Genomic DNA, 22,979 nt, shown 5'->3' on the forward strand with positions numbered 1-22,979 from the left:
TTGTAGGTAACCGATCATATCAGCATCACGTATTGATAGTCCATCTTTTCCCCATTTATTTTCTACCCCCTCATATGTCAAGTTTCCGTACGTGTAAAGTGTGACCCCTACTCTTTTTAACTGGCCCATTTATTAATGAGTGAATCAATACAATAGTGTTTTAATTATGAAATTTTATAAATTAAGACTGGGTAAGGCCAACTTCCCACTTGTTATTTGGACATTGTCTTAGTTATTCCTTGTCTTTTGCTTTTCCACATGATGTTTAGAATCAGCTTGTCAAATTCTATCAAAGCCTCATTGAACATTTGATTGAAATCATACTGAATTAATAATGATATTTTTGTTAAGAATTGTAATCTTTAGGATATTGAGTCTTCCCAAGCATGAACATGATACAGCTTTTCATTTCATTCTTTTATGTCCTTCATTAATATTTTATATTTTTCTGTATGAAAGTCTTATACAAGTTATATTGGAATTTTTTCTATGCCCCTAATAGAGACAGATCCTATCTGTGTTGTTTTGAAGTTTGTACAGTTTGAGAGGCACTCCTTAAGAAAAATAAATTGTCCACTTCCCGCTCCCTGGGGAGGCTATGCAAGTAAAACACCGCAAAACTTAGCTTCATTAGTTTCACAGTAGATCTGCTCCTACCCCCTTTCATTTTCTTTGTGAATTCACCATAGTGAATGAGATCTTTGGAAACTGCTAAGTTTTAAAAATACCAGTGAGTTTCGTATGTTGACATTATTCTCAGAAAATTGGCTATTTTATTAATTCCAATGGGTTGCCTATAGCATCTCTTGGGTTTTCCATGCAGACAATCAAACTATCTGTGGGAAAGGGCAATGTTATCTCTTCTTTCCTATGTCCTATGTTTGTGTCAAACATGACAAAGCACCAAATGTCTTTTAAAATTATATAAAACACAATGCCAATTAAAGTAAATAACTGGAAAAAATCTGGGGCCTGCATGTTCCAACAGAAAACATAATAGTAAGCCCACTTCAATAAAATTTCCCCATACACACACGCATGTATACATGTGACATTTTCTAGGCATGATTTACTCTGACCTTACAAGTATTCAGTCTTCATAAAGATTTATAGATGCTTGGAACTCTTAGTCATACTTAATACCAATTCTTATCCCCTAACTAACACTTTCCTATCAATAAAAGTAAATTTGTACTTCACATTATTGCAAATTACTCACTAAAGATGAATGGTTTCTATTAAGAACGTAAAAAGCTACTCTGATTTTTTATTAAACTTTAAATTACTTTTCAAAAACTGAAAGTAGTTCTTGACAATAGCAAATGTATTTTGTTTGTAACTTGGTGCTTTTTCAAAACTAACTACAGCATTCAAAGTAATCAAAATAGAACTTCTTTTCCCAGAAGGGGATAGTTGATAAATGAAAGCAGAAATCCTAAAAGTTCTTAATCCCGTATGAACAGTAAGTTTTACCTGAAGATACTGAGTATGTAACTTCTGCATTATTTCCTTCATCAGGATCCTTTGCAAACACAGTTGTAACCAACATATTTACTGGTTGACCTTCCAGAACCTGCCATTAAAACAAACAGCTTACAAATGAGTCAGCAAAAGTTTAAAAAGAAATATCAGTGGACCTTTAAATGAATGAATACATTATACTAAACATTTTAAACTATCTTAAAATCCACATATAATTCAAATGCATACCATGTAAAAGTTATATGGGTGTATGTCCATGAAAAGAATCCTCCTTACATATTAAATCTTTTATTCAATTAGAATGAATTATCTGAGGCATCTGAACTAATTCTGACCAAAAGAAAAAGAAATTGAACTTGCTAAACAATCTTAGATTTTTGGTGTATTTTAAGATTTCTAGCATATTCTCATTCATCATCTCTTAGGACATTTTTTGAAAGGTGGTTGCTATGGCTTAAAATATGCTTAAAATAAGTATGAACCTTTAATTCAGAAAACAAAACTCATGCAGGACATACCAATTATCAGGAGCTGTCCTGCAATGTTGAAATGCACATGTGAAGTTCAACTACATGTTTAGAGTCCAACTGCCCAATTAAGCCACAGGACATTTTAATGATATGATTAAAAAGTGTAATGATGATATAATAATATTTTGCTTTGTTAGAATTTTTCTTTAAAGCTGGATTCAGATCAGTTTAAAGTTATGAGTTCCTCAATACTTTTGTTGAGTTGTTCAATATGTATATTTGAGCACAATTTGAATGTCTAATTCAATTGTTCTGGAACAGTAGCTTCTAAACTTTTCATTATTATAACCCATCCACTAAAAAAATTATTAGTAGGTCCAAACATATTTATTAATTATGTGAATGAACTGATATTCTAATTTATTATGTATATTATACAACATACAAAAAGACAAATGAAAAAGATGAGATAATATAAATATAATTGCCAGTTGGTGCATGTGATCAAAAGGATCAACTTTTACTATCTCTGGATTTCCACCTACCCACTTTAGAGCTACAGGTTGTTCCCCTACCCTTAAGTAACTATCTTAGAGACATGTATCAATTGCCGTTAAGAAGCTCTGCACAAAGAGATGCACGTAAACTACTGGAAAAACAAGCCATGTCTGAGCATTAACCTGAAGCACCATTCAGTTTGTGTACAAGGGGCTGAACTAAACTTATTGTTATAAAGCAACTGGAGGTACAATGCCAAAGAGCACATATATTCATTTACTTTTTAAAAATTTTCTTTTAAAATAACATGTGCACAGTATCTAGGTCTTCTAGAAAAAGTATGCTTTGCCACACCAAGACTGATGTGATAAATTCACAGGTTTTACCACAAGATGGTGCTCAAAACAAATGACTTAAGATATTACAAATTCATTGCAAGGTTTCTTCACAAACCTTCACGTGTAACTCCTTTCCAGGGAGACACTGGGGGAAGAAGGGCCTGTTATCATTGATGTCAGTAACTGAGACGTAAACCGCCATGGTGGCGTTTCGTGGTGGGGAGCCGCGGTCTGTCACTAGCACAGTCATCTCATGGTGCCCCCGGTGCTCACGATCCAGTGCCACCCAATTGATTAACTCTCCTGCAGAGTACAGAGCAGAACAAGACACAGGCACTGTGTACCAGGCGCACCAGGGCCAGAACCATTTCCAGAAGGAAAACCAAGTACAAAGCTTTGAGCAAATATGCGACTTCTAAGACCATCTACATAGTAGTTTGGCTCTATGGTACTGTTGAAAAAATTTTCTCAAGTTGCTCCTGAAAATGTCACTTTAAATTTGTTATTCTTTGTATTTCAAATTATCATCCATCGATCATTTGAACTAATAAACAATGAATTCATAAAAATGATAAAACTCCGTGGGAACTTAGTAATGATTTGGAAGATTTAAAACTGCTGCTTATCCCTCTTTATGCTGCTATACAGAATGATGGAAAGCATGTGAGCTCTGACACAGGTTCTGGCTTTGGCCCCAGTTTCCCCATCTCAGACATGGAATGACTCCTCTGAGCCTGGGACTGCTGTCAGGAAGAAATGTAATCACACATTTAAAAGTATTGTGCAAGCTATACATGACGACACAAGTGGAAGCTGTTATTACTACTTTAACATAATGGCTAAATACCTTTCTGGAAATCAAATAATATCCCTTAGGCAATAGTTCTTGTTTTATGCACACAAGTATTTGTTTTTTATCTCACAAAATATACATGTAGCAGTGGATAGTGACTTCCTATAAAAACTCTTAATGCTTTAGAAGCTTTATTTCAAATATTTCTGCCTAGAGCTATACTACCTTCAGTAACTTTCCTCATGTGTCAGCCATGCAGACCCAGGCATAACATCTAAGTGCCTCTTCCTATTGCCAGGGACCTTGGGAAGACAAGCACTCGGTCCAATAGCCTGTCAGAGCTCTGCCAAGCATTGATTTCCTCACCATTTATGAAAAAAAAATGTACCTGTGAGAATGTGAGCATGAAGCAGCTACCGACAAACATTTCTGTGGCTAAAAACTTTTTTCCTCTTAATACAAATAAAATAGCATTGCATTAAAAAAAAGTGGAAACAGGGAACAAAAATGAAAATTCTCATTTAGGTAAGTTGCTGAATTGGTGAGCTTAAATGCAGTGTTTATGATAACTGTTTACTGTTAATATATAAACTATATTTATAGTGTTTACTCGGTGGTTTTAATATAGATCATACACACAATTGCTTTTTTTAAATTCCAAACTATAATTCTCCTCCGAAGACCTTAACTTCTGAATGGCAAACAGATTTTTATTCATAAAGCAAATCTGATGGATAAGCAGCAGCCTTGGAGGTCGGGGATGTAAAAGACTGTGCAGCTCAGGCTGCAGCTGGGGATGGGCGACACCAGGATATGGTTCCACAGGAGCTCAAGTCCTGGTCACTTGTAGGACTGTCCAGAGAACTGGATGAAAAGGGGGTGTGTCTCCCAGGCTCTGAAGGACACCCTCCACCCTGCCTTGCCATGCTGTCCTTGGGAGGAGGAACAGTTTACAAGCACGTAGTGTTCCAAGCCCTTTCATATTCTTTAGCTCTTTACCCCTCAAAGCATGGCACAGGGCGTGTCAGGAATTGTCTCCTGTATTCATGGTAAGGAAGCAGCTCTGAGCTTAAGCTACTTGCTTAAAGCCATACAATGAAATTAGGAATGGACACCTCGTTTTCTTGTAGGGGAGGGAAGATCACGGGGGAATCAACTGTAGTTTGCTTATTTTAAAGAAAAAAACAAGTGAAATAGAAGACCTTGAAAACTAGCCATATGGAAGTAAAGTGCAAGCAGGGTCATCCCATATAGCTGTATGGTTTGTGCCCTTGCAGCAGGAGTCTCAGTTTAGGGAGTGAATGAGAGTGGAAAGGCAGCTTGCAACCTTCTTGGCAAGCCATGTGCCCTGTGAAAACCCTCCATCTGCTGTGAAAGGTCACCTTCTCCTAATTCACAGAACAGAGACTTGAGAACAAAGGCTTGAAGTTCATCAGAACTGAATGCAAAGTCTGTCCCACTAAAGGCAGCAGCACCATCTGCCCAGGTTATGACATAGATGGTGCCTGCTGGACCTGCACAAAAAGGGAGCTTCTTCTCATCTTACCAGCTCCATGACTTTGGGTGTACTACTCGAGCTATCTGAGTTTCAGTTTTCCCGGGTATGTATTTGCAGTATAGATATGTTTCATTGTAAGGATTAAATAAACTCCCCGTAAACTTATACAACATAAATTTTAAAATATAGTGACTTTTAATCTTTAATTTCTTAATTCAGACTTTAAAAATTTCACTGTAATTATTCCCCCTTTTCCTCTGGTTCCCCTGTCAGAATGAGAAAAAGGATATATATTCTTAGAGTGATTTTGAAATCTTAACCAATGAATTGATGTCTAGCTTTACATTGATGATATTTATATTTCACAAAATACGTTTTGACGTTTTTTAAATGTCTACAAATGGAAAAGGATGGTTGTTGAAAAAATTAGCCTTTACACAAGGATATATTCAATCCAGTTCTGACTATACCTCTAGTTCAGAAAAAGAACCATATATTGGCAAGATGGGGATGTGATGCAGGGAAAGTATGAATTATTATGGGTGAAACTCTATTCAATTTTTAATCCATTTTTAAGACCTCACAATAGAGTAATCGAATACCTTATTTATTAAAAACCATTATTTCAATTGCATGTATGCACTAATGCTATACCTAACGACTTGAGTTTTCTCAATCCTGATTTTGTTTAATTTTTTATTTTTATTTTTACTTAAAGACGAGTGTGATAGTACTGAACCCTCATTTTAAAGGAATAGGTGGAAACTATGAAGTGCTACCTGTATTAGGATTCATCTTGAAGAATTTTCCATCAGACAAAAGGAAATATAATAGCTGTCCATTCTTTCCAGAGTCCATGTCAATAGCTGTAATTTTGCCTATTACCCCTTGGGGAACAGGGCTCTCTTCGACTTTCAAAAACAACACATCATGCAAGAAGGTGGGGGAATTGTCATTCTCATCCCAGACACGAACAATGACTGTAGTGCTCACATTTTGCAAGAATCCGTCCTCGGGGATCCAAGCAAACACTCTAAAATTATATGTTTGGGTGGATTCATAGTCAAACTGTCGCCGCAAATAAATCCAGCCCGTGTAAGGGCGGATTCCAAACATAGCAGAGTCTACGCTGGGTTCCAGCGAGTACCTAAGAGGCGAGGCTGCACGCTGGGGGCCAAGTGGGTGCGCCTGTGTTTGCAGCATTTGTGTCATCGGTGAGAGAGACTCACTGACTTCCACTTGATAGACCAAATGTTCGAAAGTCCAGGATGGGCTGTGTTCGCGTTTCTCGATAACGACTGTCAGCACCAGCAGGGCTGCCTGAGGATGCACGCCTTGGTCCTCGGCCCTGAGAGTCAGCGTGAGCTCCCGCTGCTCGCCCGCGCCCAGGCTGCCGTTGAGGAACAGCACCCCCAGGGCTCTGTCGATGGCAAAGACGCCTGGCTGCGGGCTGGCGATGGAGTACCGGATGAGTCCGTTCCGCCCACTGTCTCTGTCTTCCGCACGTGCGAGGTACAAGGCTGTGCCAGGGGGCGTGGTCTGGGATATTCTAATCTCATCCGAGGTCCTGAGGAACGCTGGGTGGTTGTCATTGACATCCATGACTGTTATGTTGACCTCGGTGCTGCTGCAGGCTGGGGCGCTGCCGAGCTGCGCCTGCACCGTGAGCACAACCACGGGCTGCGTCTCGTGATCCAGGGGCTTCCGGGTGCGAATAGTGCCCAGCCGCGGGTGAATGGAGAACTTTCCGCCGAGATCACCAGAAGAAATCCTGTAAAAGATTGGTTCTGAGGAGTCTGAAAAAGAGAGAGGGGACAACCACTGTATGTCAAAAGGGTGGACCCACTGGAAACTCAGAAATTGAAATGTTAATACAGTCATCCACTGCCTAATGACACTTCAGTCAATGATGGATCACATATACTATGATGGTTCCGTAAGATTCTGACACCGTATTTTATTGTACCTTTTCTGTGCTCACATACATAAATCCTTACCATTGGGGTACAACTGCCTACAGTATTAAGTGCAGTAATATGCTGTGCAGGTTTGTAGCCTAGGAGCAATCGACTGTAACATTTAGCCTAGGTGTCTGGTAGGCCACACCATCCAGGTTCGTGTGAGTACACTCTGTGATGTCTGCACACTGACAAAATTTTCTAATGAGGCATTTCTCAAAACATTTCCCATCGTTAAGGACGCATGATTGTATATTCTCCATCTACAGAGACTGCTGTGCAATGTCTTACTTTCTCCACTCTCCAAAGCCTGCGGAAAAGTGGACACACGGTTTTAAGAATTTTTTTGGTGTACGAAAAGAATGTCCAATGGGCAAAGAGCAAGCCACAGGTTTCACTCTCTTCCTTCATCCCTCTTGCATTAGATAAAAGGGAAAGATATTCAGAAAATAATTCAAATACCTTTTTTTAAATATATTTGAGGAAGTCAAGTTCAATTTATGTTGATGTTACTCTATTATATCTACCTATGAAGGGCAAATACTCTCCATAGAGATTGAGGGAAGGGAGAGAGGAAGGAACAGGAGGGGACTAGGAGGAGGACAAGCTCTTTGGAAAGGTAATTCATTTCTAGGAATTTATCCTGCAGAGGTTCCTCTACAGGTGTGAAAAAGTCACACACGGCTATTTGCTCAAGTACTATTTGGACTAGCAAGATTTTTTAAATCCTTCAAATTGGTAGCAAATGTAAACATAAAACATATCTAAGTTGAAACACTATAAACTGTCTTTTAAGGAAACAGAATGGCATCCATTTATCTGGAAAGTTGTTCAGTATATACTAAGTGGGGAAAGAAGCTCTATAACAACAAATATAGAAAGATGCATTTTTGTCAAAAATTTGTAAATTGTGTGTACATGTGTGTGTTTTTGTGAGTGGGTTATAGGAGACATATATTTTGTATATTATAATCTGTATTATTTTAAACATTCTTTTTAAAATGCCTATTATTTTTGTGATCAGAAAAAAAATTGTGGGATGGACAGAAACAATGTTGGAAGAACAAAGAGCAAGCCACAGTTTGTGTTATCTCCCTTGTTTTGACTTGCGTGGAAAGAAGAAAAAAATTATTCAAGATTGTACCGCCTACAAAAAAACAAGAAATGTTCCAATAATGGAATTCCATGCAGCATAAGAAATAAGTACTTACTCAAGGGCTCTCTTGCTTTCACTGTTCCAATGGGACTATCTTCAGGCACATCTTCATAAACTAAGAAAGTGTACTTAGGCCTTTCAAACTCAGCAGGTGCCAGAGTTGTCTGGAAAATGTGTATGGTGACATCGGCATTAATGACAGCTGTGAGCCCACCACCGTCTTGAGCAGAGACCATCAACGAAAGTGTGGTAGATTCCAAATGACTAAGAGGTAATGTTAAGTAAATAATTCCTGGGTAGGGAAAAGAAAACATTGGTAAACAGATAACATGTAATAAATACTGATGAGCAATAGTAACACCTGGTCTATTAAGTGTATTGTGATGTTTTATTTTATGTGTTAACTGGGCCACAGGATGTCCAGGCATTTGATCAAACATTATTTTGAGTGTGTCTGTGAGGGTGCTTTTGGATGACATTAACATTTAAATCTGTAGACTGAATAAAGCAGATCATCCTCCCTAATGTGGGCAGGCCTGGTCCAATCCACTGAAGGCCTGAATAGAACAAAAAAGCTGACTAAGAGAGAATGGCTCCTGCTCCCAACCTGGGGCACTGGTTTTTCTCCAGCCTTCAGGCTCAGATAGAAGCATTGGCTCTTCCTAGGTCTCGAGCCTGCTGGTCTTCAGCCTCAAACTATACGACTGGCTCTCCTGGTTCTCAGGTCTTTGGACTGAGACTGAAGCAACACTGCCAGCTCTCCTGGCTCAGTTTGATGGATCTGCTCACCCTGCAGATCTTGGGACTTGCCAGCCTTCATAATCACATGAGCCAATTCCTTGTGATCAGTCTCCTCATACATACACACACACACACACATACATCCTGTTGGGTCTGTTCTCTGGAGATGAACTGATACATGTATTTGCCAACCAAAGACCTTCTGCATATTTGCAAAACAATGTCAAATTATGTTAGGTAAGCAATATTTTCCTAGAGTTAAAACATTAGACATTTTAGAAGTATATAAAGTCACTAGAAAAAATATAAATTGTGTTGTCTTCTTTAGGGCTTACCATATCACCAGCCCGAGATGACAGAAGATCAGATTATATCCCATAGTCCAGTATATTCTAATGCAGGCTAGCGCAGGGTTGTAGGGTGATTACAACCTGCTCAAGTGCCAGAATCCCAAGTCTACAGGATGAAACTAAAATTTTATCTTCTAAGGTATTTGACATTTGCCCTGAACTAGACCGTGTAGGGTAGCTCTCTTTTTAAACTGACTCCACTCCACCTTTGTTGGTGAGAAGATATAATACAATAGCTGTGTACAATAAAACTTCAGCAAATGTAAAGACAATGGGGACAAGAGTGACGACTTAGGCTTATGCATGTAGAGTATGTGAGAGGAGAACTTATTTATGGCTAAGTTGGGAAGAGATTCGGTAATACTGACAAAAATGAATTATTTAATATTATTAATACTACCACTTAGTGTACTAGTTTAAAAACCTGAAAACGGATCTAATGCAATCAACTTAAGAAATGAACCTGTTAGTTTTGTTTAATGAGAAAAATGTATGCAAACTTATTAAATGAATTTGCGAACAAATACGTATGGCTGGCCTTTATGGAATTCATCATGTACAACTGGCCATAACAATTAGTTAATGAATGAATACTGCAGTCTTTGCCAGTTTAGGAGAAGTTGGCAAAAACATCAGGGATATCAGTTTCTAGGCATTAAAAGGTGACATCCATTTGATTTCTTCCTTTTTTATATAAAAATCTGCCCTCTTGCAACTTCGATTTCTTGTTTCTATTTCTATTAGAAATTTAATAAAATATTCTTATTTACTGAAATCAAATATCTTGCTTGGCCTGCTCTAAACACATACTCATTTTCCTTTTTTCCCCAGCTTTATTAAGGTATAGTTGACCAATAAAATTACATATGTTTAAGGTGTACAATTTGACAATTTGTGATTATAACCATTTTCTTTAATGATTCCTTATCTAATATGATTTTAAGTCATTTCTCTCACAGTTCTTTCTCCTAAACATGGTCCAAGTTGATCATCTCAATTTTGATAACCAAAGTGAACAAACTTTGTTTCCAGATACAATTTTACTGTTATAAAGCAGAGGATAAACACTCTTTATTAGAATACCATAAAATACTAATGTAACCAACTATTAGTACACCAGCTTTTAGTAACCATATTCACATCTGGTTTCAGACTGATTTGATGGTCCATCAAAGCACTCAGTACTTATCACAAAAAATTTCCAAGTCAGATCTTTCTCATCTGTTATTGGTGCAGTTTCTAAAAAATATTGCTTTAGTATTAAAGTCTCTGATTGATTGAAAAATAAAACTTGAATATACACAAATGTGTACAGAAGAGAAGAAAAAGTCCCCCTACCCCAAACATCCCCACTCACCAGGTATATATTCTTCCAGAGCTACCACTAAATTCCGATTACAGAGAAATTTTAAAAGATTTTATGTTGAGCCCTGATGATTATGACAATGAAAAACTTAATGTCTGCCTCAACACAACCTGGTCTTCCTGCATCCCGACTGACTCCTTCTGAACTATTTTTATATTTGTGTTAGACCAGTCTTCTTGAAATCCAAATCTAGACACATCGATGGCTCCCCAGCTTTTCAGGGTAAAGCTTAAATGCATTATCTTAACATACCAAGCTATTCATAAATGGCCCCTCTCCCTCTCTGTAACCCCATCTCATAGCTCTCTGTGTCATAGCTCTCTGTACAGTACCTTTTGCTCTAGGCAAAGTGAACAGCTTGTAATTTCCAGAAAAGACCTTGCTGTCTTCCATCTGGATTGCTGCGTCCTCTTCCCAGAACAACTTCTTCATCTTCTTTGATGTAACAATTTCTAGCCATATTTTATTATTATTATTATTATTATTATTGAGATGAAGTTTCACTCTGTTGCCCAGGTTGGAGTACAGTGGCATGATCTCAGCTCACTGTGACCTCCGCCTCCTGGGTTCAAGCGATTCTTCTGCCTCAGCCTCCCGAGTAGCTGGGATTACAGGCACGTATCACCATGCCCGGCTAATTTTTGTATCTTTAGTAGAGCCAGGGTTTCACCATGTTGGCCAGCCTGGTCTCGAACTCCTGACGTGATTTGCCTACCTCGGCCTCCCAAAGTACTGGGATTATAGGTGTGAGCCACTGCACTTGGCCTCTAGTCATATTTTAAAACACAGCTCAGGTTTCATCTGGTGCAGCTGGCCTTCTCTTTCTCTCCACTTAGCTCTAGCTACCACTATTCTATGATCCCGCAGCAGCCTGGGTACATGTGCCTATTATGAACTTAACATGCCTTACTTAATTACCGGTTTTTAATATTTTATATCAGTCCTTCATTTACTCATTAGTTTACTGAATGATTTATAAATAAAATTAAAAGAAATTTTGAAAATATACAAACAACAATTTACTATACATAAGGAGAAGAGAGATCTGTAAACAAAATGGAAAATAACTGAAAGTTAGATTAGCAGTGGATAAGGACAGGTAGTTTAGATAAGAAACAATAAAATGTTGATAAATATAATACTACCTAAAATCACTAATAATAATGAAAATACAAAATTAAAACCACTACCTCATTTTTACCTCTCTGTTTTCCTAAAATATTTAAGTGATAATACCCAGAGTTAATAGCAGGTTGTTATTTATGTACATTCTCCAAAAGGCACTTTGGTGATACTTATCAAAATTTTAATTGTTCACACTCAATAACTCAGAAATCTACTCTATATTTGTGTAAGTACACAGAAATAAATCAAGAGGATGTCATTTGGAACACTGAAAATGACCTTAATATCCATCAGGAAAAGAATGGACAGTGCACTCTATTGTGGTATATCAATACAATAGAATACTGTGTAGCATCAAAATGAAGTAAATATACATGTTTTCATCTAGAAAGACTTTACACACTACATTTTATGTGAAAAACAAGTTGCAAACGTGAGTCTATGTTATCAATCCATTGTGCTTGAAAAAATAATGTCAATACTACAAGTATTAGCCAGGATTCTCCAGAGAAGCAAACCAATGGGATCTCTCCTCTGTAGATATAGATATCTATAGATCTTATATCTCTCATATCTACATATAGAGATAGATAGATAGACATTAATAGATAGATATAAAGTGAGATTTACATTAAGGAATTGGCTGAGATTATGAAGTCTGAGAAGTCCCATGTTCACCCATCTGCAAGCTGGAGACATAGAAAAGCTGATGGTATAGTTTGAAAGCCTGAGAGCCAGGTAGTCAGTGGTGTAGATTCTAGTCAGGGTCTGATGGCCTGAGAGCCAGGAGCACTGAGGGCAAGAGACTGATGTCTCAGCTCAAGCTGTTAGGCAGAGAGCAAATTCAACCTTCCTCCACCTTTTTGTTCTTTTTCAGGCCCTCAGTGAATTAGATGATGCTCACCCATTCTAGGGCTGGCCATCTGCTTTACGCAGTTCACCAATTCAAATGAAAATCCACCCACAGAGACACCCAGAAACAGTGTTTAATCAGCTATCTGGGCATCTTGTGGACTATTCAAGTTAACACATAAAAGTAATAATCACATGAACAAACTTTTTTTTTTTTTTTTGAGATGGAGTCTCACTCTGTTGCCCAGGCTGGAGTGCAGTGGCGTGATCTCGGCTCACTGCAACCTCTGCCTCCTGGATTCAAGCGATTCTCCCGCCTCAGCCTCCTGAGTAGCTAGGACTACAGGCGCCTACCATCACGCCTAGCTAATTTTTGTATTTTTAGTAGAGAGGGGTTTCACCATATTGGCCAGGCTGGTCTCAAACTCCTGACCTTGTGATCCGCCCATCTCGGCCTCCCAGAGTGCTGGGATTACAGGTGTGAGCGACCGCGCCCAGCCAAACATTTTTAAAATCATGGTATATCTCTATTTAATGTAAAAGAAAAATTCATGAAAACCTGCTGAGAATATTTGATTACAGAACACTATGTAAAGTTTGAATACAAACACTAATACATATACGATGTGTATACACACAGAACTATGCATACTGAAAAATATGAAAGGATAGGAACTGTTAAGGGAAGTCATCTTTGTGTGTTGAGATTATGGGAAGCTCACTTTTTACTTCTTACATTCCTATAGTTTAAAAATTTTTTAATAATTATATGTTAACTTTGTAAATGAAAAAATATATTTTAAAGATATTCAGAAAAAGAAGATATGTTTGGTTATTATTTAACTTTTTTAGGACTATGAAGGAAACTTGTAAACTATAGTGTAAACTAAGATTGGACATTAAAATGTGGGCCTCTAAAAATAATTGCAGAGCACACTTCCTTAAAAATAGGATTCTAATTCTACAAAAAATTTCAAGAATGAATATCATGGATATTTCAGAACCATTAAATGAAGATATTAAAGGGATTAATTTCCATTAAATCAATCCCTGAGGTTATAATAAACAAACTCTGGAGAAGCTGTCTATATAAAGCCGAACATGAAAAATAATGTTTCAAATATTCAAATTACTAAAGTGTGTCCTAGTAACATACAGCAAATGTGAAGTCTAATAAAATTAATATCTATACTATATTCACTCTGGTACTGAAAAATATTCTCTCTGATAGAACTATTTGGTGTCTAATTATAGCCCCTCCAAATCCCCAAACTGGCATTTTTAATTGAGACAGTTTAATAATAGTTTTTGAGGTTCCCGATGATTTGACAATGGGGAGCAAGAAGCAACACATCACTTATTTTATCCTTGATACCACCTGGAATGTTAGTCCATGAAGCAAAATTAAGTTTACTGTCTTAACAAAATTTTACTGATGAATGTCCATTTTATTTGCCATATTATGAGTTATCAAATAAATTTGAAGGAAAGGAAAAGGGAAGAAAAAGGGAGACATGACATCAATTATAGAGAGTTATACAAATGTAACCTTTTCAAGAATCTTTACCCTTAAAGAATTTATACAAGCCAATCAGTAACTAAGTGTAACGTCAACAAAGACAAATAAGAGCTGTCAGTTATAGGTGAGCAGGAGATAACGAAATTTAAAGTTGTATGTAAACAGTGAAACATCACACAAATGTTAGCTATTATGAAGAGGGCTTAGCTTAGAACCTTGCATATGGTAGCCACTCAAAGAAATGAATTTATGTGGGGGGAGAATCGTGAACCTTACTTCTCAAAGGGAAGTGCCTTGTTAATAATTTGAAAAAACGTTTTCGCCCGGGCGCGGTGGCTCACGCTTGTAATCCCAGCACTCTGGGAGGCCGAGGCGGGTGGATCACGAGGTCAGGAGATGGAGACCATCCTGGCTAACACAGTGAAACTCCGTCTCTCCTAAAAATACAAAAAAATTAGCCGGGCGTGGTGGCGGGCGCCTGCAGACCCAGCTATTTGGGAGGCTGAGGCAGGAGAATGGCGTGAACCCGGGAAGTGGAGGCTGCAGTGAGCCGAGACCGCGCCACTGCACTCCAGCCTGAGAGACAGAGCGAGACTCTGTCTCAAAAAAAAAAAAAAAAAAGAGAACGTTTTCAAGTATTTCAAAACACCGCTCTATAAGCACCTAACCATACAAGGTAAATCTCTGAAATCTCAGTTTTCCGCTAGGTTTTAAAAAGAAAATGCCTGTTATCATATTCCTCCATTTTTCATTTCATAGAAGTCTTAGAAGTAGAGACCATCACTCTATATACTGTATATGTATCGTAATGCATACATTCATATATATACACATACATTCATATATATATACACACACATATCTATCTATATATAATATGCTGATCTATCAAAAATTCCTGTGTAGTAATGGGATTATAAATATTGTGTGAACAAAAAACCTGTCCATCAATTACTAGGCTCTAAGTAATTTTTCAATAACATCAGAAGCTCCACTGTTTTCTGTGCGTATCCATAGGCTAATCACTTAAACCTACCATGGTTTTACCTTAATCTCCCAGGTAATATCAGACAGAAGTATTTCCTGTCTGAAAGTGCTGAATCCTTGGGTTAATTATTTCCAGAAGCCCAAAAGTTTAGTCTTTTTAATTTTATTTTTTTAATTAAATGAAAGCATTATACTCAACTAAATATAACCATCAAAAGAAATCAACACAATTGGTAAATTCACTTGTCTTTGAACTTGAAGGGCTCTAGAGGTACTGTGGGCTTTATTCCAGACCACTGCAATAAAGCCAATACTGCAAAAAAAAGTGAGACACAGAAATTTTTTGATTTTCCAGTGCATAAAAAGTTATGTTTACACTATGTTGTAGCCTATTCAGTGTGCAATAACAGTAAGTCTAAAGAAAACAATGTATATACCTTAATTTAAAAATATTTTATTGGTAAAAAAAAAAGTGTTAACAGTCATTTGAGATTTTAGTGAGTGGTAATCTTCTTGCTGGTGGAGGGGCTTGCCTCAATGTAGATGGGTACTAACTGGTCAGTGTGGTGGTTACTGAAGGTGGCGGTGGCTGTGGCAATTTCTTAAAATAAGACAACAAGGAAGGTTGCCACATTGATTGACTCTTCCTTCCACAAAATATTTTTTTCTGTAGCATGCAATGCTATTTGCTAATAGTTTATCCACATTAGAACTTCTTTAAAATTGGAGCCAATCCTCCTAGGCCCTACTGATGATTTATCAACTAAGTATATGGAATATTCTAAATCCTTTGTTGTCATTTCAACAATGTTCACATCTTCCCCAGGAGTAGATTCCATCTCAAGAAACCATTTTCTTTGCTCATCCAAAAAAGCAATTCCTCATTAGTTTAAGTGTTATCATGAGATTGCAGCAATTCTGTCACATCTTCAGGCTCCACTTCTAATTCTATGTCTCTTGCTATTTTTACCACTTCACTGAAGTGGTGATTCCCTCAAAGTCATCTGTGAGGGTTGGAGTCAACTTCTTCCAAACTCCTATGTTAACCTCCCTCCATGAATCACAAATGTTCTTAATGGCATCTAGAATGGTGCATCCTTTCCAGAAAGTTTTCAATGTATTTTACCCAAATATATCAGAGGACTCACTATCTATGGCAACTATAGCCTTAGGAAATGTATTTCTTAAATAAAATACTTGAAAGTCAAAATTACTCCTTGATGGATGCATGGATTGCAGAATGAATCTTGTATTAGGAGGCATTAAGAAAAAACCTCCTTGTATATCTTCATCAGAGCTCTTAGGTAGCCATGTGCATTGTCAGTGAGCAGTAATGATTTGAAAGAATTTTTTGTGAATAATAGGTCTCAACAGTGGGTTTAAAATATTCTGTAAACCAGGCTGTAGACAGATGATATCTGTAAACAGATAACATCTGTTTGTCATCCAGGCTCTGTTGTTCCTTTTATAAAGCACAGTCAGAGTAGATACAGTATATTTCTTAAGAGCCCTAGGACTTTCAGAATGATAAATTAGCATTGTTCCACTTAAAGTCACCAGCTGCATTAGCCCCTAACAAGAGAGTCAGCCTGCCCTTTTAAGTTCTGAAGCCAGGCATTGACTTCTCCTCTCTAGCTATGAAAGTCCTAGATGGCATCTTATTTCATATAAGGCTGTTTCATCTACATTGAAAATCTATTGTTTAGTGTAACCACCTTCACCAAGAATCTTAGCTAGATTTGCTACATACCTTGCTGCAGCTTCTCCATCAGCACTTGCTGCTTCATCTTGCACTTTTAGGTAATGGAGATGGCGTCTTCCCTTAAACCTCATGAACCAACCTCTGCTAGCTTCAAATTTTTTTTCTGCAGCTTCCTCATCTCTTTCAACCTTCCTATATTTAAAAAGAGTTAGGACCTTGCTCTGGATTAGGCTTTGGCTTAAGGGAATGATGTGGCTGCTTTGATCTATCCAGACCACTCAAACTTTCTGACTCAGCAATGAGTCTCTTTTGCTTTCTTATCATTTTTCTGTTCACTGGAGTATACTTTTAATTCCCTTCAAGAACTTTTCCTTTACATTCACAATTCGGATAACTGTGCAAGAGGCCTAGCTTTTGGCTTATCTGCACTTTTGTCATGCCTTCGTCACTATGCTTAATCATATCTAGCTTTTGATTTAAAGAGAGAGATATGCCACTCTTCCTTTCACTCGGACACTTAAAGGCCATTATAGGGTTATTAACTGCCAAATTTCAACATTGCTGTGTCTTGGGGATTAGGGCAGCCTGGGGAGAGAGAGAGAGACGGGAAACAGCCAATGGGTGGAGCAATCAGAGCACACACAACATTTATCAGTTATGTTAGCAGTCTTTCATGGCCATGGTTTGTGGCATCCCCAAACAATTACAATAATAATATCAAAAATTACTGATCACAGATCATCATAACAGGTATAATAATAATGAAAAAGTTTGAAATGTTATGAGAATTATCAAAATGTGACATAGAGACACAAAGTGTCCCCATAACACTAATAAATTTGCTTGAGGAGAGTTGCCACAAACCATGAATTTGTAAAAAGCACACTATCTGTGAAGCACAATGAAGTGGGGTATGTCTGTATAAATAGGCTGGGCTTAGATCTGAGCATGGCTACTAGGTCATTTATCAGCAAATATGCATATCTATACATTCAGTCACTTCCTTCATTTCTTGAATTATATTCAATATATTTGTTTTGGTCAGGGTCTAATCAGGGAAACTGAAACCGTCCTAAGAATTTTAGTGGCTATTTAATTAAAGAAACTGATTACACAAGTATGGGAAAGCCAGAAGAATAAGAAGGGGGTGATGAACAGTAACTCCAAGAACCTGCAACCTTCTCTAGGGTTGCAGAAACAGAAGGAAAAAGGCAGTATTGCTACCTCTATCAAAAAGAGGAGGAGGGTGAGCCATGGTGTGTCTTGGAGCCCTGAGGCGGTGCCGCAGGGCTAGCGTCCACAGTTCCGAGGCATCCCTGTGCAGCTGAGACTCAGGTGTCTCAGAGGATTAGTGCAGAGCTACGTTCAAACCTTTAAGGGCAGGGCCCAGGAAGTACTCTGGTCACCATGGTGTGGCTGCTATAATCCAAGGAGGCCTGGTGAGGGCAGTGCTCACTGTCCAAAAGGTCTTGCGTGGCTGACATAGCTGATGGTGGCATTTCTGAGGAAAATGGTGCAGTTGGTGCCAAAGGACTTGGGAGGAATACTAAACACAGAAGAAAGCATGAAAAAGCCCCTTCTCTCCTCCTCCTGTTGTCCAGTTTCCTACCAGTACCTGCCACTGGTGGAACAGATCTGAAAGTCGCCTGTAACAGTGTCTTGGGGCATCAGTCCCCGTCTGGCTGTGCCTTCTCCCAAGATGTCTAGGTCCCAGCTCTGCAGGGCCTCCTCGCTAATGCTAAGTTTTGATGACGCCAAATGTTTAGCTTAGTTCCCCCAGCCTAGGGGTGATAGTTGCTTCCATCATATGTTAATCTTGGTGTTTCCTTTTCGCCTTTTCTGTCTTCCATTATCCACTTAACCAGCTGTCTATACTAAATTATTTCTGTTACTATAAATGTTACTGTTTCTGTTTTCCTGACTGGCTGCTGACTGATGCTGATCTAACTGATTCTACTGGCCTGGCTTGTACTAGTTAGATGTAATAATCACTATGGCTTGAAGGGATGTGATGTTTGACCAACGTCACCTTGTTCACATGTCAAGGTTCTCCAAGCAAATAAACAAGTGCATGCTGGGCAGACAAAAACTACAAGTCCTAATTATGCCACCCTTGCAAAACAGGCTCTTGTTATTCTCTGCCTAACTCCCCTGTTGTTTCCTTCATGAAACCTATCATAACCTGTGGTATTTTCTGTTTTCCTGTTTTTGTTTGTCCCCCTCACAAGTTAAAGCCCATGAGAGCAAGGACTGTGTCTGTCTCATTCACCACTACCAAACAGGGTCTGGCACAGTCCCAGGCTCAGAAAAGGTGTTTGGTAATTATTTGTTGAATTAATTAACAAATAAACAAACCAACCTGGAAAAAAATCATGAGATGGCTTGAGATTAGTCAGAATTACACAAAGAAGAGATAAGATGTCTTAGTCAGTTTGGCTGCTATAGCAAAAGTAGCATAGACTGGGTCGCTCACACTTCTGGAGGCTGGGAAGCCCAAGATCATGGTGCCAGCAGAATCAGTGTCTGGACAGGGCTCCCTTCCTGGTTTGCAGACAGCCATCTTCTTGTATACTCACATGGCAGAAGAAGCAAGCTCTAGTCCCTCTCTTCGTATAAGCCACTCATCCCATTGTGGAGCGCCACCATTATGACTTTATCTAAACATAATTAGCTCCCAAAGACCCTTTCTCCTAATTCCATCCCATTAGGGGTGAGGGTTTCAACATATGAATTTTGGAGGGGCACAAACATGTAGTCCATAGCAGAAGAGTAATGTGGTGTCAGAACTCCAGATCAAATATTTACATTATTATACATCTGTAACCATTTATAGTGTGTGCTACCAAAGCAAGAATAGACAATAGAACGGAACAGACAGCCCCTACAAAGATGCTAGTCTACTTAAGTGGCAGTTATGATATTAATGAAGGAATTCCTCTAGGTCCTGATGTACTACATTTAAAAATCAGTCAACTCAGAGAGGGAAAATCATCCCATAACAACTTTGTCCCATGCAATGTAGTTTCAGTGTATAAAATCACTTTTGTGCCTTTGGTAACATGTCCTTATTTAGTCAACATATATAATTATTTTTAATGAATTATACATGAATTCTACCTAATTGCCCATTTAATAAAGAAAGTCACCAGATCAGGTGCCTATGTAAGTAACTGTTCATGCTTAAAGTCGAATTCCTGGAACCCTGAAAAGTCATTTATTGAGCTGCTTCTACTTAAGACCACAAAATTTGTCCCTGGCCAGTGGGAAACTATCTTATGTTCAAAAACTATAGAAAAATAATTCATAATTCCTAGATACCCATCGAAAAGTCTACCCCATATTTAACTGTACTCATTTGCATTTTAAACCCATACTCCCCCTCTTGATGTGGAGTGTTTACCATAACAAGCTGCAAACTTTGTGTCACAAAACTGGACATTTAAAATACCCTGATTTTTAGTGATAATGTCCGACTTCAGATTTGTATGTATCTAACTCTTGTGAACCTGCTTAGGATGATATATTAAAGATACGTCTGTGACAGTTAGAAGACCACTTTAATCAATGTGATATATTCAGAGGATATAATCATTATTTCAGTTTAAAATACGAGTCTCCCTCCTGCATCAGTACTGCACAAACAAATGAGTGACATTTGTAACGTTTTTAATCCTTGCCTTCAAATGCTATGAATGTTAGAGTTCTGATTCTATATGCTAATTTTATGTTCTCAGTGCTAGGTTTATTTGGGAATGATTTTGATTAAATCTTAGCAGAACCAGACTTCCTACATAAACCTGGCATCCTAGATATTTTCCATATGGGGAACGGCTTCTTAAAAGCAAGGCAAGAAATCTATTATTTAGGGTTGATGGAGTAAGAAAAGAGCATGGAGTCAGATTTTTGCATCAGATACAGCTGGGTTCAAATCTTGGTTCTATCAATCCCTAGTTTGATCTTCAGCAGTTTCTTAAGTGCTCTGAGCTTCTGTTTATCACTTTAAACAGACTGAAGAATCAGACTAATACCATTTACTGTGCAGAACTGCTATGAGGATAAAATTACATCGTATATATAAACAAAGTACTGTTGTACTACAGTATAGTACTACAAAGTACTGTAGCATAGTGTCTGACATATACTGACTCCTTAATACAATACTAGTTCCCTTCCTTCTCTCCTAAGGACTACAAGGTATTAGATGGGTAATTCCATGCACCAAGAAATAATCAATAATGAATGATTTAAAAATATTTTGGGGAAAGGGAAAGTAGGAGGAACTTGAGTAGCATCAATACTTCACTGCAAAGCATGCATAGGAAGTCCGCTGGAAGAGCTGACCAGTGGCCAATCTGACCTGGTAGCCTGCCACCAAGGAGCATTTTGGGAGAGGCTGTAATGACACTCATTCCAACATGTCTAGCCCCTTTACTTAAATGGTACAGATTTCTGGTCCATAGACTTATCTAAACCAGTCCTGGATAGATGTATATTTTGCATTTGTCCCACTACTGTAGGTGGCAGACTCTTATAGTTTGCATGGGGTTTACAATGTGTTCCCCTAAGTTAATATTTCAAAATCTTTTCAATAAAGCTTTCTGATTTTATAAAGCTGGATACTGACACAAGTTGGCAACAGGGATGTGGGCTGATAGTCCCTTTTTGGGAGGCCCAAATACATTTCCAGTGGACACAGATGGCTTAACTATTATTCTCTCTCACTTTGTCATTTGAAACACTGATCATTTGAGAGAATCAACTCTGAACACCACTATTTACACCAATGCACCACCAACAACAGACATAACACTAATTTAAATATTCAGTTTAAAGGAAATAATTTACTTAAAGCAAAACCCAAAACCCTTGAAGACCTGAACCTGACAGTGGTCCTCACAGTTGCGGGAGTACCATGGAAAGGTCATAAATTTGGCAATAATTGAGAAAAGAATCGAGTATTATTTTAAGATAACATAATTTTAGAAAGGTAATATAGTAAGTTGGATCATGTCTCACCAAATTTATGTCCACTTGGATCCTCAGAATATGACCTTATTTGGAAAAGGGTTTTTGTAGATATAATTAGTTAAGGATCTCAAGAGGAAATTATCCTGGTTTTAAGGGTGCCCTAAATCCAATGACCGGTGTCCACACACAAGGAAGGACACAAGAAGACACAGAAAAGAAGGACATGCAAAAATGGAAACAGAGATGAGAGTAACACTGCCATAGACCAAGGAGTGCCAAAGATCACCAACAAACACCAGAAGCTAAGGGAGGTTCCAGAAGAAACTAATCCTGTTGACACCTTGATTTCAGACTTCTGGCCTCCAGAACTGTTAGAGAATGAGATTCTGCTGTCTAAGCCACCCAGTGCGTGGTGCTTTGTTATGGCAGCCCTAGGACATGAACACCAGCAGGAGGCGTATGGTAAGGTGGGAACTCTGAAGCCAGACTGTCTCAGTTCACATTTTGGTTGTCACTTTCTCATTACGTTTATGGGCTGTTGATCTTTTTTGGATTCATTTGCTCATTTGTGAAATGGAGATAAAACTAGTTCCTATATCAAAGGTTTGGCATGACAGTTAAATCAGGCAGTTAATGCTCAATAAATATTGCCAAAAGACAAAATGACAACAAATTTAGTTTAAAGATCTTAATTGGCTTTTATTTGCAATTCTAGAGTTGAGAAACACCTCGATGTGTTCCAGTGAGCTGAGCAGAAGTGGCTGGCTTTATAGACAGAAAAGGAAAACAGAAACAGGGAACAAAAAGTCATTTCACAGTTACTTTCCTTGTAAAGGTTAAATCAGATGGGACTTTCTTATCATGCCAGCTAAAATTGGCTCATTTGGGGGTTTGGCTATTTATTATCCCTCTCTCTCCTGATTTCTTGGAAGGTCAAATAGACAACTTCATTTCAGCTTGGTGGCCATGAAACTTTAGCGTGAGTGACTCCATTTTGGTCTGGTCTGTTGGGCCTAGCGCAGGAGCTCCGTTCAAACCAATGACTTCCTATAAATTTTATTTAACAACACTCATTATGATTTACAGACTGTGTTTCTATGTCCCTGTATTTCAAAAGCATATTATTTCTGCCTTCTCCTTACTTCATGGGAGGATTTGTGACAATGGACACAAACT

At 38.2% G+C, this 22,979-nt stretch overlaps 1 protein-coding gene across 2 annotated transcripts in view; it reads right to left on the reverse strand.

Moving 5' to 3' along the window:
* Positions 1–22,979, reverse strand: part of DCHS2 (dachsous cadherin-related 2) — a 260,058-nt gene that overhangs the window by 94,878 nt on the left and 142,201 nt on the right. For both annotated transcript variants that reach the window (NM_001358235.2, NM_001142552.2), the window contains exons 4-7: positions 8,249–8,485; positions 5,859–6,875; positions 2,904–3,091; positions 1,474–1,573 (exon numbers count right to left, since the gene is read on the reverse strand). In NM_001358235.2, the coding sequence (NP_001345164.1) occupies positions 1,474–1,573; positions 2,904–3,091; positions 5,859–6,875; positions 8,249–8,485 (1,542 nt within the window). The remainder of the gene's footprint in view (positions 1–1,473; positions 1,574–2,903; positions 3,092–5,858; positions 6,876–8,248; positions 8,486–22,979) is intronic.

This window comes from Homo sapiens, chromosome 4 (assembly GCF_000001405.40).
Source record: "Homo sapiens chromosome 4, GRCh38.p14 Primary Assembly".
NCBI classification, from domain to species: domain Eukaryota; kingdom Metazoa; phylum Chordata; class Mammalia; order Primates; family Hominidae; genus Homo; species Homo sapiens.